Source organism: Homo sapiens, chromosome 12 (genome assembly GCF_000001405.40).
Source record: "Homo sapiens chromosome 12, GRCh38.p14 Primary Assembly".
NCBI lineage: Eukaryota > Metazoa > Chordata > Mammalia > Primates > Hominidae > Homo > Homo sapiens.
This window is the reverse complement of record NC_000012.12, coordinates 76,036,129-76,052,082: the sequence shown is the minus strand read 5'-3', so window position 1 is coordinate 76,052,082 and position 15,954 is coordinate 76,036,129. Positions and strand designations below refer to the sequence as shown.

Below are 15,954 nucleotides of genomic sequence, written 5' to 3'. Positions count from 1 at the left end.
AGAACTTGTATCATTGTTTAGTATCATAGAAGTGGGATTATTTTATTTTATTATTATTATTTTTTTTTTGAGATGAAGTATTGCTCTGTCATCCAGGCTGGAGTGCAGTGGTGCGATCTCCACTCACCACAACCTCTGCCTCCCGGGTTCAAGCAATTCTCCTGCCTCAGCCTCCCGAGTAGCTGGGATTACAGGCACGTGCCATTGAACTCGCTAATTTTTGTATTTTTAGTAGAGACGGGGTTTCACCATGTTGGCCAGGCTGGTCTTGAACTCCTGACCTCAGGTAATCTGCCTGCCTTGGCCTCCCAAAGTCCTGGGATTACAGGCATGAGCCAGGCCAAAGTGGGATTATTTTAATTGTGAATAATGTCAGACCCACTTTTGCCCTGTGCTTTTCTATTAAATAGAAATCCTAAGCCAGGTACAGCTTCAGGCACCTGTAGTCCCAGCTGCTCTGGTGGCGGAGGTGGAAGGATCACTTGAGGCCAGCCTGGGCAACATAGCGAGACCCTGTCTCTAAAAAAGAAAAGTGCTAGGGGCACCTGATTTAGTTAGTATATTGTCTTTCTGAACTAGGACTGTCTCATTTGGGATTAGTAGACTTAAAACTGTACAGCTGTTTGGGTACTGTCTTTTAGGAACTATAAAGTGATCCTCTGTGGTTGTTTATTATGTCCTTCTATTTGCTATGTACTTAACAATATTAACAATAACTATATATTAACAATAACCCAAGGGTTTTTTTTTTTATTTTTCTATTTGGTGTTTTCAATAATATTTTAAAAGGAAAATTGCGGACATGTAACAGTTGCTTTTATGTATTTATGTTTAAACCAGCAAAAACTAAGCAGTTCTAATTTTTATTCTTCACAATTTATCTTAGTATGCATACTGGCCTGCTAGCTTATTTTCTTTTTGTTAAAAACTTGGAAAAGTTATTAAGGAAATTTAAAAATGACAAATCATTTGTTAACATGGTGTGAGAAAAATCATGGAAAGTAAAAAGTAAAGTTGAGCATTTCTTCCCTTCATCATATAATTTAAACTGAAGAGTCTGTCTTTTTTTTTTTTTTTTTTCGGTTGCCCAGGCTAGAGTACACTGGTGTGATCACAGCTCATTTCAGCCTCAAGCTGCTGGGCTCCAGCAATCTTCCCACCTCAGCCTCTCAAGTAGCTGAGACTACAGGCGTGTGCCACCCTGCCCAGTTAATTGTTTATTTTTTGTACAAACGCAGGGGGCGTCTCACTATGTTGCTTAGGTTGCTCTTGAACTTCTGGGCTCAAGTGATCCTCCTACTTTGGCCTCCTGAAGTGTTGGGACTACAGTTGTGAGCCATCACACCCAGCCTCTAAGAGTCTTACATGTGCCAAATTAAGTAACACAGTTATTCCTAAATTTTCTGCTTTTGTTTTCCTTTAAAAATAGGATGATGATGCTGAAGCTATCCTTGCTGCAGACTTCGAAATTGGTCACTTTTTACGTGAGCGTATAATCCCAAGATCAGTGTTATATTTTACTGGAGAAGCTATTGAAGATGATGATGATGATGTAAGCGAATTTGAATCCTGCAAAGAAATAATTGGTTGAGGGTATAGTGGTCAGAATTGGTAATAGATTAGTTTAGTTTTTAAGAAGCAGGACATAATATAATTCAAAATTAGGCTAATTACTGATGTTCTGTATATAGCTTTTCTGGGTTTTAAGTATGTCTCCTTAGGATTTTTGGATTCATTTATCTTAGCTTTTAATTTTCTGCTAATAAGATTGTTCTGAGTTTATGAAACTTTTTTATGTTTGGTTAGTGCTATAGATCTATTATGCCCTTGCCTTGACTTCACAGAGCTAGGACTTTCTTTAGTGCACAAGAAAACATTTACTGGGAGGCATAGAATTTCTATTCAAGGTAGTATTGAATGATGGTTAGGTTAAGATTAGGTTGCATATAGATGTTTTGAATATGTTTATTGCTCAACGGCAATTGTTAGAGTAGGCTTTAGGTCCTTTTCGTACAGTGCATTCCACACTTAAGTGTAGGTGAGTAATATTTACAGTAATACTTGTCTGATCATCCACTTTATCCACATGATTGTACTCTGTTCTTTAATTTTATAAATTGGCAGTGAGCAGAGTGATTCTTGCAGCTACTATGTGTTTTAATTTATAATCAGCCCCTTGATAGGAAAGTAGGTTTTCTCTTTTTAGACACTAGTTTATACAGTGATAAATGTTACTGATGCTACTCTGAAATGTGTGTTACATTCACTCAACACTTAACGCTGTTTTTCCTTTTCAGTATGATGAAGAAGGTGAAGAAGCGGATGAGGTAATGTTTACCAAATGAGCAAATAATTCTCTGTGGTTAACACATTGAGAAGCAAATTGAATGACTTATGTATTCCTTTGCTATAATCATTCTGTGATTTGGGATAAAAACATTTTGGAAAACATGATTTTAGAATTCTACAGCCAAACAATGTATGTATAAGGTTTCAATAAATAAATTGCAAAACTCAGCAACATTTTTTTATTTCAAATAATTTTGTTCTGCTGCAGGGTTATCAGCTCTTTGAAGAAGTCAAAAGCTGCAGTAAACTTTTCCAACGTTGGCTGCAGTAACTATTTTCAATAAAAGCTGTCTGGATGTCTCAAGTTGTGTTGGGAAATTTTTCATATTAGAAGCTTTCAAATTAAATTGTATTATCATCAAAGTCTGTAATCATGAAAATCTGTTGATCCGTAGAGTAACTTGTATTAAATTTTCCCTACATTATGAGCCAGTTTACCTACTATGTACATACTTCATGGATGCATTTTGAACTTTAATATAGGAAGGGGAAGAAGAAGGAGATGAGGAAAATGATCCAGACTATGACCCAAAGGTGAGCAAAATTAGTGCTGCTTTCTATTAAATTTAAGATAGCTAAAGTAAGAGTTGGTGTTTTTGAATATCAAGTTTCTCTCCGTTAAAGTCTTTAATAAATAAAGCCTATTGACTGGATAACTTTGTTTTTTCAGTCCCACTGGCATTGTGAACAGTACACATAATTTCAGTGGACGTTTTTCTAAAAAACATTGTTTTTTGTTTGGACTTCGTGCTTTTTATAGTTTCAGGTACAGTGAACCCTAGGATTCTATTTTAATGGGACGATTTGTAACAGTTTTTAAGCATTAGAAAATAAAGGTTTTTAAAAGATCTGGTTGTAGGAGTGTTCGGGAACTGGGGAGCAGTGCAGTTTGTTAGATCCTTCCAACTACTCTTACTCAGTCCCTGAGAGTCCTAGTCTATTATTCCTGAGAATTTGTTATATTAGGATTAGCAAAAACAAAGCTGATTGGTAATATAACTAACATAAATTGCTTGGTAACTTTATTTTTTTAAGATTATGGTTTAGCGTGTGTCACATTTTATGGAGTTAATTCTACAGTGTAAAGTTTGAGCTTGATTTTAGCATTTCAGTGACTTGCTAATAAAATAAATAATTTACCACCATTGTCCTATACCATTTCTTTTGACAACAGTGAGCTACTGTTATAATTAAGGCAGTAATTACTATTGAGAAATTCACTGAAGCAGGTAGAAGAAGATAGATTGACTTGTTGTTTTCCTTTAACAGAAGGATCAAAACCCAGCAGAGTGCAAGCAGCAGTGAAGCAGGATGTATGTGGCCTTGAGGATAACCTGCACTGTAATAGCCTAAACACAACTCTTATTTACTTACAGCCTTATGTTTTTGTATTTTCTTGGTAGACTAGGTAATTTTTTTTTAAAGGACAGGAAACTGATATTTTAAAGACCAATTTGTTCTACCTAGCATTTTAACTAGTTTTTCTGCCAGCTATGTTGAATGCACAAATTCTGTCACGCATGTTCATTCATTGCTACATAATTTGGTTCTTCTGGAATATTTTTATGTAGCTCTTGGAGTACAGCTATGAAAATTAACAACTGTTAAAGGAAATACCTTTTTTTTTTTTTTGTAATTTTTTCCTTGAAGAACCAAAGTATTTTTTCAGCTGGTTGTTGAATAGGGTTAAGTCCGCTTGGATTAGCTGTGCCTTTCATTACTTTGTTACAGAAATGCAGTGACTTATACTAAGACAATTTATTGTTTAAAAAAAAAATTGGCAAGACAACTATATGGTTAAGAATTTCCAGTATGACCACACCCAATAACTGTTATTAGAGTGTTAATGGATTATTGTGTTTTAGGTGACATAGTTAACTGTAAAGTAACCTGACTCAGTATAGTTACTGGTACCACAGTGAGGTGAATAAAACGGGATTTTCAGAAGTTAGCCTGAATTTAACTGTATTTTTAAATTTAACCTCCATTAACTAAGCATCTTTTCTTTGTGGTAGGGTCTACCTTCTGCTTCCCTGGAAAGGATGAATTTACATCATTTGACAAGCCTATTTTCAAGTTATTTGTTGTTTGTTTGCTTGTTTTTGTTTTTGCAGCTAAAATAAAAATTTCAAATACAATTTTAGTTCTTACAAGATAATGTCTTAATTTTGTACCAATTCAGGTAGAAGTAGAGGCCTACCTTGAATTAAGGGTTATACTCAGTTTTTAACACATTGTTGAAGAAAAGGTACCAGCTTTGGAACGAGATGCTATACTAATAAGCAAGTGTAAAAAAAAAAAAAAAAGAGGAAGAAAATCTTAAGTGATTGATGCTGTTTTCTTTTAAAAAAAAAAAAAAAAATTCATTTTCTTTGGGTTAGAGCTAGAGAGAAGGCCCCAAGCTTCTATGGTTTCTTCTAATTCTTATTGCTTAAAGTATGAGTATGTCACTTACCCGTGCTTCTGTTTACTGTGTAATTAAAATGGGTAGTACTGTTTACCTAACTACCTCATGGATGTGTTAAGGCATATTGAGTTAAATCTCATATAATGTTTCTCAATCTTGTTAAAAGCTCAAAATTTTGGGCCTATTTGTAATGCCAGTGTGACACTAAGCATTTTGTTCACACCACGCTTTGATAACTAAACTGGAAAACAAAGGTGTTAAGTACCTCTGTTCTGGATCTGGGCAGTCAGCACTCTTTTTAGATCTTTGTGTGGCTCCTATTTTTATAGAAGTGGAGGGATGCACTATTTCACAAGGTCCAAGATTTGTTTTCAGATATTTTTGATGACTGTATTGTAAATACTACAGGGATAGCACTATAGTATTGTAGTCATGAGACTTAAAGTGGAAATAAGACTATTTTTGACAAAAGATGCCATTAAATTTCAGACTGTAGAGCCACATTTACAATACCTCAGGCTAATTACTGTTAATTTTGGGGTTGAACTTTTTTTTGACAGTGAGGGTGGATTATTGGATTGTCATTAGAGGAAGGTCTAGATTTCCTGCTCTTAATAAAATTACATTGAATTGATTTTTAGAGGTAATGAAAACTTCCTTTCTGAGAAGTTAGTGTTAAGGTCTTGGAATGTGAACACATTGTTTGTAGTGCTATCCATTCCTCTCCTGAGATTTTAACTTACTACTGGAAATCCTTAACCAATTATAATAGCTTTTTTTCTTTATTTTCAAAATGATTTCCTTTGCTTTGATTAGACACTATGTGCTTTTTTTTTTTAACCATAGTTCATCGAAATGCAGCTTTTTCTGAACTTCAAAGATAGAATCCCATTTTTAATGAACTGAAGTAGCAAAATCATCTTTTTCATTCTTTAGGAAATAGCTATTGCCAAAGTGAAGGTGTAGATAATACCTAGTCTTGTTACATAAAGGGGATGTGGTTTGCAGAAGAATTTTCTTTATAAAATTGAAGTTTTAAGGGACGTCAGTGTTTATGCCATTTTTCCAGTTCCAAAATGATTCCATTCCATTCTAGAAATTTGAAGTATGTAACCTGAAATCCTTAATAAAATTTGGATTTAATTTTATAAAATGTACTGGTGATATTTTGGGTGTTTTTTTTTAAATGAATGTATATACTTTTTTTTTGAAGAGTGGAGAGTAGTGATGTCTAGAGGGAGCTATTTTGTGCTGAGGCCACTATGTTCTGTAAATATATAATTTTAAGAGCAACCTCACAATCCCTGCTAAGTGGAGTTTATTATTTGAAGACTAAAATGGAATTCCATAGTTCCTGATAGGTTATATTCTGGGTTATTATTCTGAGTTATCTACAAACATTTTTGAGATTTGTCTTTACACTCTGATTGTAGTTTCCAGCAGCCCATGCACACTGCCAAGTAAGTCTCATTTTTTCCTGTTAGAAATGGTGAAATATCATATAATCACTTATAAAGAAAACTGATATGAAAAAATTTTAGAGTTGTTTGCTTTATGGTCACTCAAGTAGGGTAAGTGTTCCACAAATTCCACAAGTTGATAGTTTAACATGGATGTCTGAAAGCCACATATATAATTTCTTAGGATTCTTAAATTAGTAAATCTAGCTTACTGAAGCAGTATTAGCATCACTATTTTAGATTGCAAAAATACCTTAATTGTGTGGAACTGGCTTGTAGAGTGGTACTTAAGAAAAATGGGATTCTACCTCTATTTCTGTTTTAGCACACTTAATCAGGAAAGGATATATTAACTTTCATAAAAATATTTTTGTTGTGTGAATAGGTTAATGATATGGTAAGGCCCCTAAAATAACTGAATTAATTGTTTATTGTAATTGTAGGCCATTCCCATTATTAAAAATAAAGACAAAACTTGAAGTAACTGAAAATCTTATCGTGCTATGTAGAAATATTGAACTAATATTCAAATATTTGAATGCTTTGGTTTCAGGGATTGGTTTAAAATTGGAGTCCTTTTTTATGGGTTAGTCTTACAAAAATTTAAGCCTTTATATTTTTGACTTTAAATCAAAACAAATGTTATTTTAAATGTACAGAATAGATTGGTAGTGCAGAAGAGTGTAAGTTCTTCATAGGAGCTTTAGAAAAGAGAAATATGTGCTAATTCAGTTTTTTTTTAATCTGCACTGTACATATATACTTGGTAATTATGAGCTTGATTTTGTTTTTGGAAATATGTGTTCATAATTTAGGTAATTTGCTACTTAAAGCACTAAGTCTCTGATACCTGAAAAGTACATGTAAATGGTGATGGTGAAATAATACTGCAGTTAACTTAATAGATGTATACTGGTGATTTTTGTATGCTGGATTAAAACTCCAGATATTAAAATATAACCTGGATAAAAAGCCAAGTTCTTGGACTGATTGAGGATCACTTACATGACTTTACAGAAATGGAAACATCCTTGTTGGTATATGAAATTATTTTACTCAAGGATAAGTATTCATAAGAAATTTTGATTGATGTATATTTTCAAAAATACAGTATGCTTTGTATCTTGTGTTTCTTCCTTTTGACATCATATTGTCAGGTTTTCCAGTTTACAAAAATTAAGTTATTCACTAAAATCTTAGTACAGACAGTCCCTGACTTATAATGGTTTGACTTAAGACTTCAGCTTTATGAGTTTATTGGAGTATTAAACACATCTTCTACTTATGATATTTTTGACTTACAGTGGGCTTATTGAGGCCCGACCATGTCATCCTCAAGCCAAGAGTCTGAATAAAAGAAGAAATGGGGTATTTAGAAATAATAGATTACTGGCGGGAAATAAGTCAGTCTGGTTGTTTAATTTTCCTATGGGAAATTGGGCATTTTAAGTTTTGTGGATCCTAGAACAAACTGAGTTTTATTATTTTGAAACCCAGGATAAAATATTACATAAAAGCATTGCTTTTTAGTTTCTTACATGTTTTATCCATTTATTTTTATTTTTGAGATAGAGTCTTGCTCTGTTGCCCAGGCTGGAGTGCAGTGGCATGATCTCGGCTCACTACAGCTGTCATCTCCCGGGTTCAAGCGATTCTCGTGCCTCAGCATTCCAAGTAGTCGGGATTACAGGCGTGTGCCACTGAGCCCAGCTGATTTTTGTACTTTTAGTAGAGATGGGTTTTCACCATGTTGGCCAGGCTGGTCTCGACCTCCTGACCTCCAGTGATCCTCCCACCTCAGCCTCTCAAAGTGCTGGCCTCTCAAAAGTGCTGGGATTACAAGCATGAGCCACCACGCCCAGCCAGTTTCTTACATGTTTTAAACTTAAAGCCAAAAAGAAGGAACTAGGAATGTGTGATTAAACGTGAGTGCCAGAAGTCGACAGATCTCATATCCAGAGTTGAAGGTCTTATTCATAATTTTATCATTCATAATGTATTAGGCAATTGCGGCTCTGGTAAATTTCATGAGGTTGTAAAATAGTTGCTACCAGAAGGCTCAAAATTTGTATGAGCTTTTAGCTGAGATTTTGAGAATCTGTAGGAATTTGTGAAGTGAGAGGAAGAACCTCTGAACGGTGAGCAGTTCAGGTGGAGGAACAGGAGGAAATACAGGCAAAGGTCCCAGAACAGAACAATTGAGGCTACATTCAAGGAATTGAGATACCTGGAAATACAGGTAGAAATACAAGTGGCCAGTCCATAGAAAGTTTAGCTGTGGAAGTCCTCTTAATGGGTTTAAAACACTGGAACCACCTGTTACAAGAGTATTTCAAGTGAGGATGAGGATGACCATTCCATGTAGAAATTTTTTTTTTTTTTTTTTTTTCTGAGACAGGGTCTTACTTCATTTGCCCAGGTTGGAGTGTACTGCTGCAATCAGCCTCTCGAGTAGCTGGTATCACAGGCACGTGCCACCACGCCCAGCTAATTTTTACATTTGTTGAGAGGTGTTTCACCATGTTGGCCAGGCTGGTTTCGAACTCCTGGACTCAGGTAATCCACCCATCTTGGTCTCCCAAAGTGCTGGGATTACAGACGTTAGCCACTGCACCTGGCTGAAAGATAATTTTTAAAGGAAGACATGATTGATAGACCAAGTCAGCCATTTGAAGGTCAGAACATTTGAGGTAGGTGGGCCCCAGGGGCCAGTAAAGGCTTCAGGGTCATATATATGCAACTGAAAAAGTAAGTTAAATGACGTGGCAGCAGCAGTGAACAAGACGCTGTTAGCTGTTAAGATAATTTACTTAGCCAAGAACAAAAGCTTTATTTAAAAAAATTGCTGAATAAAGTTTTATCTGCAGTGAATCCCCTTAGTCAAACTCCAGATTGGTGTTTTGGGGTAACTTATCAATATTACAGCTTTCCTTCAACTCTGAAAATAGTTGAAAGAATTCCGGTATATTCTTTACTCTGATCAACATACTTTTTGGCTCAAAAAGTTTTCTAGTCTTACAGGCGTTTTCTATTTCAGCCCTGGAATGGGCCATTTCTCCAAGGATTGCTGGCTTCTTAGAATAGGGAGTATTACTTAGAAACTTAAGTCCAGTTGCTGAATATGCTCTTTACAGGGTATTTCTAGGGCCTTTCAGGTGAAAGAAAATTTGTACATGTATCATAAAAACTGAACGCACAGTGGATACTTTGAAGTTGAATCAAACAATGTTATTTTTCCTACTGCTACTGCCGTCCGTATTTGTAATTATTTTCAAATAAGTGGAATCAGTTGATCCAACTAGGAAAGTAGATGAGGTTGCTCTATAGGAATAAGAATCCATGAATAAAAATGGAGATCTAATTTTAGACTAAAACTTTTCAGCCCCTAAACAAATGTCTCTGCTACCAAATTTTAATGGATATGTGTGAGAATACAAGTAGTGTCTTTGGGTAGTGTCTTTAAACACAGGCTTTAGAGTCTGTCTACCACCTGTTGGTTCAGCATCAGTCTTTTCATCTGTATTGCGAAAGATCGTGGTGAACATTAATAAGGAAACAAAAGTACTTAGAGCCTATGAGCACTTCCTAAACATAAGAAAACCTAAAATTTGTGATTGGGATTACTTTTTAAATTGGTTTTAGAACTTTATTTCTGAACTAGTTGGGGTTTTCTTGGTTCAAAGGCAAAATTCCTCCTAGGTGTAAGGGATGCATTACTCAGTGTACATAAGAACACTGAGACTAAGACTGGATAATAAAATTAAACATATGCCTCGTTTTGAAGATTTTATGTGTAAAAAACAAAAAAAAAATTGACCTTAACCTAAAGTGAGCTAGGTTTGAAAATCTCATCTCATTCCTTTCTTGTTTTATTTTAATACATGTGTTTTCATATGCTGTTTACTTTCTTTGGCCTTTGGCAGAACCCAGAAATGATCTAGGGTAAAACGAAATGAGGTATCGCTATATATTTGGATTTCTCATGCTTCAGAATACCCAAATTGTCATTATTCAGGTTATCCCTTCTATCTCCCAACATTTACCTGGAGCCTTGACACTGGTGTGGATGTGACATGGGTGTCTGTCTTGAGATCAGATGTGATTTTAGACTTGGATTAGGCCAGTCAACAAAGTTTTATTTTTATTATCTTTGAGATGATTCTCACTATGTTGCCTGGACTAGTGTCTAACTCCTGGGCTCAAGTGGTTGTCTCACCTCAACCTCCTGAGGTGCTATGCTTACAAGTGGGAGCTGCCGCACTTAACTATGGATTTCAAAACTGGAGGCTGGAACTGTTGTCTTTGCTATTCATTTGGCTTGGTGAGTGGACTTAGCCACTTCACGGCAACTTGGAGATGAATAGCCCACTGTATTTAACCTGCATTTGCACTATTTCAGCTCTGCTTGGCTGCCTTTTCTTTTACTTCTGCCACTGGGCTTTTGTGCATGTGTTTTACTAGTTCAACATAGGATCTCCTTTTCATCAGTACCTACTCTTTGGTTCTATAAATCTGAACTGGTTTTGAACCAGTTCAAAATACTCTAGAAACACTTGCTTATTAATGAGTTTCCTAATTTCCAGCACTGTGCTTGGAACTTGGTAAGTGTACAGAAAAGTTTTGGATGTATAGGTCAGTTAGGATTTATCTAGACCCATTCAATGTACCAACCATAATCCTGTGTGGGACTGTGTAGCAAGTCGAATGATTGATTCTCAGTAGTTCAGTCTCTAAGGTCTTTTGTAGTTGTCATATTCCTGTAGATTGAGAAAACCAATGAAACAAAGCTGGATTGTGTATACAGTTAGCTCTTTCATAATGCAGGGGCTAGGGGCCCCAGCTTCCTTCAGTCAAATCTATGTATAAGCTGATTCCCCCAAAACTTGACAGCCTACTGTGGAAACTTTACCAATAAGTCATTTAACACACACTTTGTATGTTATGTGTATTATATACTGTAAAAAGTAAGCTAGAGAAAATGTTAAGCAATCGGAAATATATTATGGCCAGGTGTGGTGGCTCATGCCTGTAATCCCAACACTTTGGGAGGCTGAGGCGGGCCAGTGACTTGAGGTTACAAGTTCGAGACCAGCCTGGCTAATATGGAGAAACCCTGCCTCTACTAAAAATACAAAACTTAGCTGTAGGTGGTAGTGGTGTGTGCCTGTAGTCCAAGCTACTCAGGAGGCTGAGGCACAAGAATTGATTGAACTCTGGAGGTGGAGGTTGCAGTGAGCCCACAAGAATTGACTGAACTCGGGAGGTGGAGGTTGCAGTGAGCCGAGATAGTGCCACTGCACTCCAACCTGAGCAACAGAATGAAACTGTCTGTGTGTGTGTGTGTGTGTATGTATATGTATGTGTATGTATATTTACTCTCAGGTGGAACTGGATTATAACAGTCTCAATCCTCACTGCCTTCATGAATAGCTGAGGAGGAGGGGGGTCTTGCTGTCACAGGGGTAGTAGAGACAGAAGTAAACCTGTAAGTGGACCCTCTTAGTTCAAATTTGATATTCAAGAGTCAACTTAGTTGTTTTTTAAAGTCAAGGGAAGGCATATCAATAGTTGCAGTTACCTAGTACTGCATAACAAAACAACCTCCAAAACTTAATGGCTTAAAACAAGCAAAATTTTTCTGACTGGGCTTAGTTTGTTGCAGTCGTTTTCCAAAATGACCAAAGACATCAAAGCTTAAATTACATATTGTATGCCTGTTCAGGGAGAAAAACATATGCTTTTCCCCATCATTTTGGAATCTTTTACTTGAATTATAGCTGGACAATTGATTTCCAGCTATAATTCAAGCTATAACGTAGTGAACTCCCTCAGACAAAAATGTCAAGCTTGATTAGTAAAGGAACCTCAAGTGGTATGTATAAGGTGACCCTTAAGTACACGTGTTTTCAAAAGTTGGGTATAATGTAACTAGACTGAGAGGTTTCGAGAAAAACTTCATTGCTATTCCATGTATAGTTTTAAACTAGTGGGATTTCAGTTTACAGTATTAATCAGCAATTTGGGGAGAACTAAGTGTTCGTTTAACATTAAGATAATAAAAATAATGCCTTAATCATACTTGATTGAGAATATTAATTCCCTTTTTATGCATAAGGATGGAAGTTAAGTAACTTTAACAATGACACAGTTGAGTTGTGTTGGAGCCAGCATTTGGATGGCCCTACACTTTGCACTGCCTTGTAGATATTTCTGTCACACAACTAGTGGTTAAATAAGCATGTTCTTTAGGCTAGAGCTTTCAGAGATGAAATATTTTAGAGACCAGAGTTAATCTAGATTTCATTTTAAACAATATTCAGATAATCTTTCCTTTTTCTCTCCCCTGCCCTGAAGAGTTTGTATTTATTATAATGTTGTATAACACAGCCCCAATACAATGTGGCTTATATAGGTTTTTCTCTTAGGCTTAGACAGACTCTGGGACTGATATGGGAGCTTCATGGTTCTCAGGCAGACTTTCATTCTACTTTTTGTCTTTGGCAAGTTGGTTTATTATCAAGTGGTTGCTGGGGCTCTATACATCATGTCCAGGTTCAAGGTACAGGATGGGCTGAAGGAGGCTAAAGGCTACTGGCATCCAACCTCTCCTGTAAAAAGAAGAACCTATGGTTTATGCTCACAGTGCTAAAAGTAGGATAGTAAATAAAATAGAGCTGGGTGTGAATGCCAAGGGAGGTTAGGATGACAGCCACATTGGCCACATATGTCGAAATAAGTTGATTTAGAAAAGGATTATTTGATCAAGGATATCCTGGAACATAAAGCAAATAACTACATTTTAGAAATAAGTGAACAGGGCTAAGAAAAGTAATTTTCTTTAAATACGGCCCAAAAGGATTAATTATGATTGGAGTCCTGCTTTGCCCAAGGCTTTTTATTTCATTTTGCATGATAACCTTTCTCAGAACCATGCATGCACAAATTAGGTTGAGACAATGACTTAAAAGTGTAAATGAAATCTCATTAGAAACAAAAACTTTCTGGTTTCTGACATGTTTAAGGGGTGCTCATTGTTACTCAACAATGATTTACTTAGGTAGTTATTGTGATGGGGGCGGTTCTAATGGGATTTCTTTTTCTGGTAGGTTTAGTGGCAACATACAAGCTTGCCATAAACATTTCCTGGGTTTTATCTTCTTGTAAAAGTGTTATTCCACCTTTCTGAGTCTGGCTACCCCACAGAATTCTTTTATCCCTTTTACTCTTAGATTACCTTGTCTGTAATGAAACTTACCCTCTCTGAAGCCTGAGTTGTTCTTCTAAAGTAACACCACTACCACCTTCTTTATTCTCATGTTTTTGGGAGGAATTGTCTACACTCACTGCTATATGTCCTCTATCACCTAAGAAAGGTATTTGCCCATTACTGGATTTTTTTTTCTTACAGAGATCAATAGTGATCAAATTGAACAGCCTATGTCCTCAGGCTGTGTGTTTTGTGGCAATGGAAAAATGACAGCAAAAGAGGGAAATATCCTTGGAATTTAGTTCCTTAAATGGAGGTATTTGCCCAAGTGACTGTCAGTTACATATTTGAGTTGCAAACAACGGGTTGCATTTACCGGGTTTCAGAGTAGAAGCATACTTAGGAAAGGTGGTAGGTGTTCTTGGGCTCTTCAGTGGGGACAGAGGATTGCTTCCACTCTTAGTTACTGGGGTATCTTGTCACCCCAGAGACCCAGAGCCAGAATATCAACACTTTTGAGTGATTGCAGTTTTGTGACAACATAATACTGGTTCTCTCAGCCTCCTTCATTGGATTACCTTCCTCTCTGCTCCATTTCATCCAGTTCCATATTTTCGTTTGTCACTTCAAAGCTAATATTACCATAACAAGTTTACAAATAATCAGACTTCCTGGTTACTTGTTAATACTCAATAAGATAGCCTGCTTGCCCATTTTGAATAATATCAATACATTTCCAGACAAAACATTAGTCATTTCCCCTCAGTTTAAGTGCTGTCAATCAGCTCTCCGTTAGGTACAATGGCGAAAACACTCATCCAGGATCTTGGATATTTAGTGAAGTAGACGTGAAAATTGGATAACTACTCATCAGAGTTTGAAGTGATTAGGAAGGAATTAACTCAGCCAGAGGAAATCTGGGATTTGAATAGGGCTTTGAAGAATGAAAGGTTTACAGAGGATTTGGGAAGGTAAATTGGAGGCTGCGAGGACAAGGAGATGTATGACTGGCACTCGCTCAAGGTTGAGTGGAACGAGTCAAAATAAGTAGGACCCATTCTGTGGAGGGCTTGTCATGCAAGGGTAAGGAATTGGAATGTATACAATTGGAGGCGAATAGAAGTTTTCTGTCATGTTTTAAGAGTAAAACTGAAGGCCATGTGTATGAGTATGGATCAGGTGATTGGGCCACCCAAGAACTTAGATGAGAGAACTGAATTAGGCTGCTGGCAGAACAGAAAGGACGGAGACAGCTGATGGACGGTGCTTGGATCCACAATTGTGTTTGTACTACAGTTAAAAAAAAGCGCTAAGCACTCATTATAAAGCACTTGCTTTAAGCTGTTACACAGATTGGTCACTAGGAGGCATCAGTTCATCAACTACTAAGGCGAAAAGGAAGGCAGCTCTGGACACCCACCTAAGAAGTCTGGATAGTTCTGTGTTAATACTTAACGTTTTCAACTCAAGGACTTTTGGAAACTAGAATCTAGAATATTTCTTCTGAATAGTACTTCAAAGATGAAATAAGGCTAAGAAGTCTAAACTGCACTCTGTGAGACTATTTGTTTATTTATTTAATTATTTATTTTGAGACAGATTCTCGCTCTGTTGCCCAGGCTGGAGTGCAGTGGCGTGATCTTGGCTCACTGTAACCTTCACCTCCCTGGCTCAAGCAATTCTCCTGCCTCAGCCTCCCGAGTAGCTGGGATTACAGGCGCTGTGGGTTTTTTTTTTTTTTGTATTTTTAGTAGAGACGGGGTTTCACCATGTTGGCCAGACTTGTGTCGAGCTCCTGACCTCAGGCAATCCGCCTGCCTCAGCCTCCCAAAGTGTTGGGATTACAGGCGTGAGCCACCGCGCCCAGCCTTGGTTATCTTTTATACCCTGATGAGGGTAACGTGACATGTTCATAATTTACTGGGCTTTAACTTTTTCTTGAAAGATGTTTGACCTTTGGTCTATCCAAATCTTTAATAATGATCATTGTCATGAGTTTCTACTGTATATTGCAAATTGGTTTACAGATCAGAATTTTGTAATCATTATGAATTAAACACTTAATAACTTTCCAAGTTCTGTTACATGTCTTTAAGCCAGTATTGATTAATGGACTTTTAGTCAAGTGTTTGACTATGTAACTGCCAAGTAAGAAACTTACCAACTCAGTTCCATTACTGTGTTTCTCATGCTTCTAAATACTCTTACTAGAAAACAGTAGGATACTAGTTTATATAAACACCTCTCATGATATTAAATTGCATGTTGCTTGGGAAAAGGTTTGTGGGATTTATTTTAGATGTCTGACTATAAAAGCATTTAAGATTCAGAGAGGCCTAGCATGTAGTTATCCATTTAAAAAGTATACCAGAGATATGTTTGTAGGGCAAATTTCAAGTCCTTACATCTCAAGTTTTAAAAAGTAGGATGCATCATGAAAAATCTGTCAAAAGCATTTGAAAAAATTGATATTCTTTTTATGATGGGTATGGACTTCTAATTCAATTCAAGATTTCTACCTATGTTGAGCA

The 15,954-nt window shown here is 36.4% G+C and overlaps 1 protein-coding gene across 9 annotated transcripts in view; it reads left to right on the top strand.

Annotated features, from left to right (window-relative positions):
* Positions 1-15,498, top strand: part of NAP1L1 (nucleosome assembly protein 1 like 1) — a 48,101-nt gene extending 32,603 nt beyond the window's left edge. For 3 of the 9 annotated variants that reach the window (NM_001330232.2, NM_139207.5, XM_011538393.3), the window contains 5 exons: positions 1,430-1,552; positions 2,298-2,327; positions 2,833-2,883; positions 3,619-3,690; positions 4,365-7,338. In NM_001330232.2, coding sequence (NP_001317161.1) covers positions 1,430-1,552; positions 2,298-2,327; positions 2,833-2,883; positions 3,619-3,654 — 240 coding nt within the window. In that variant the 3' untranslated portion in view covers positions 3,655-3,690; positions 4,365-7,338. Of the gene's footprint in view, positions 1-1,429; positions 1,553-2,297; positions 2,328-2,557; positions 3,495-3,618 lie in introns of those variants that run through there. The other 6 variants (XM_017019340.3, NM_001330231.2, NM_004537.7 and 3 more) reach the window with 4 other exon arrangements.
* Positions 15,499-15,954: the final 456 nt, after the last annotated feature.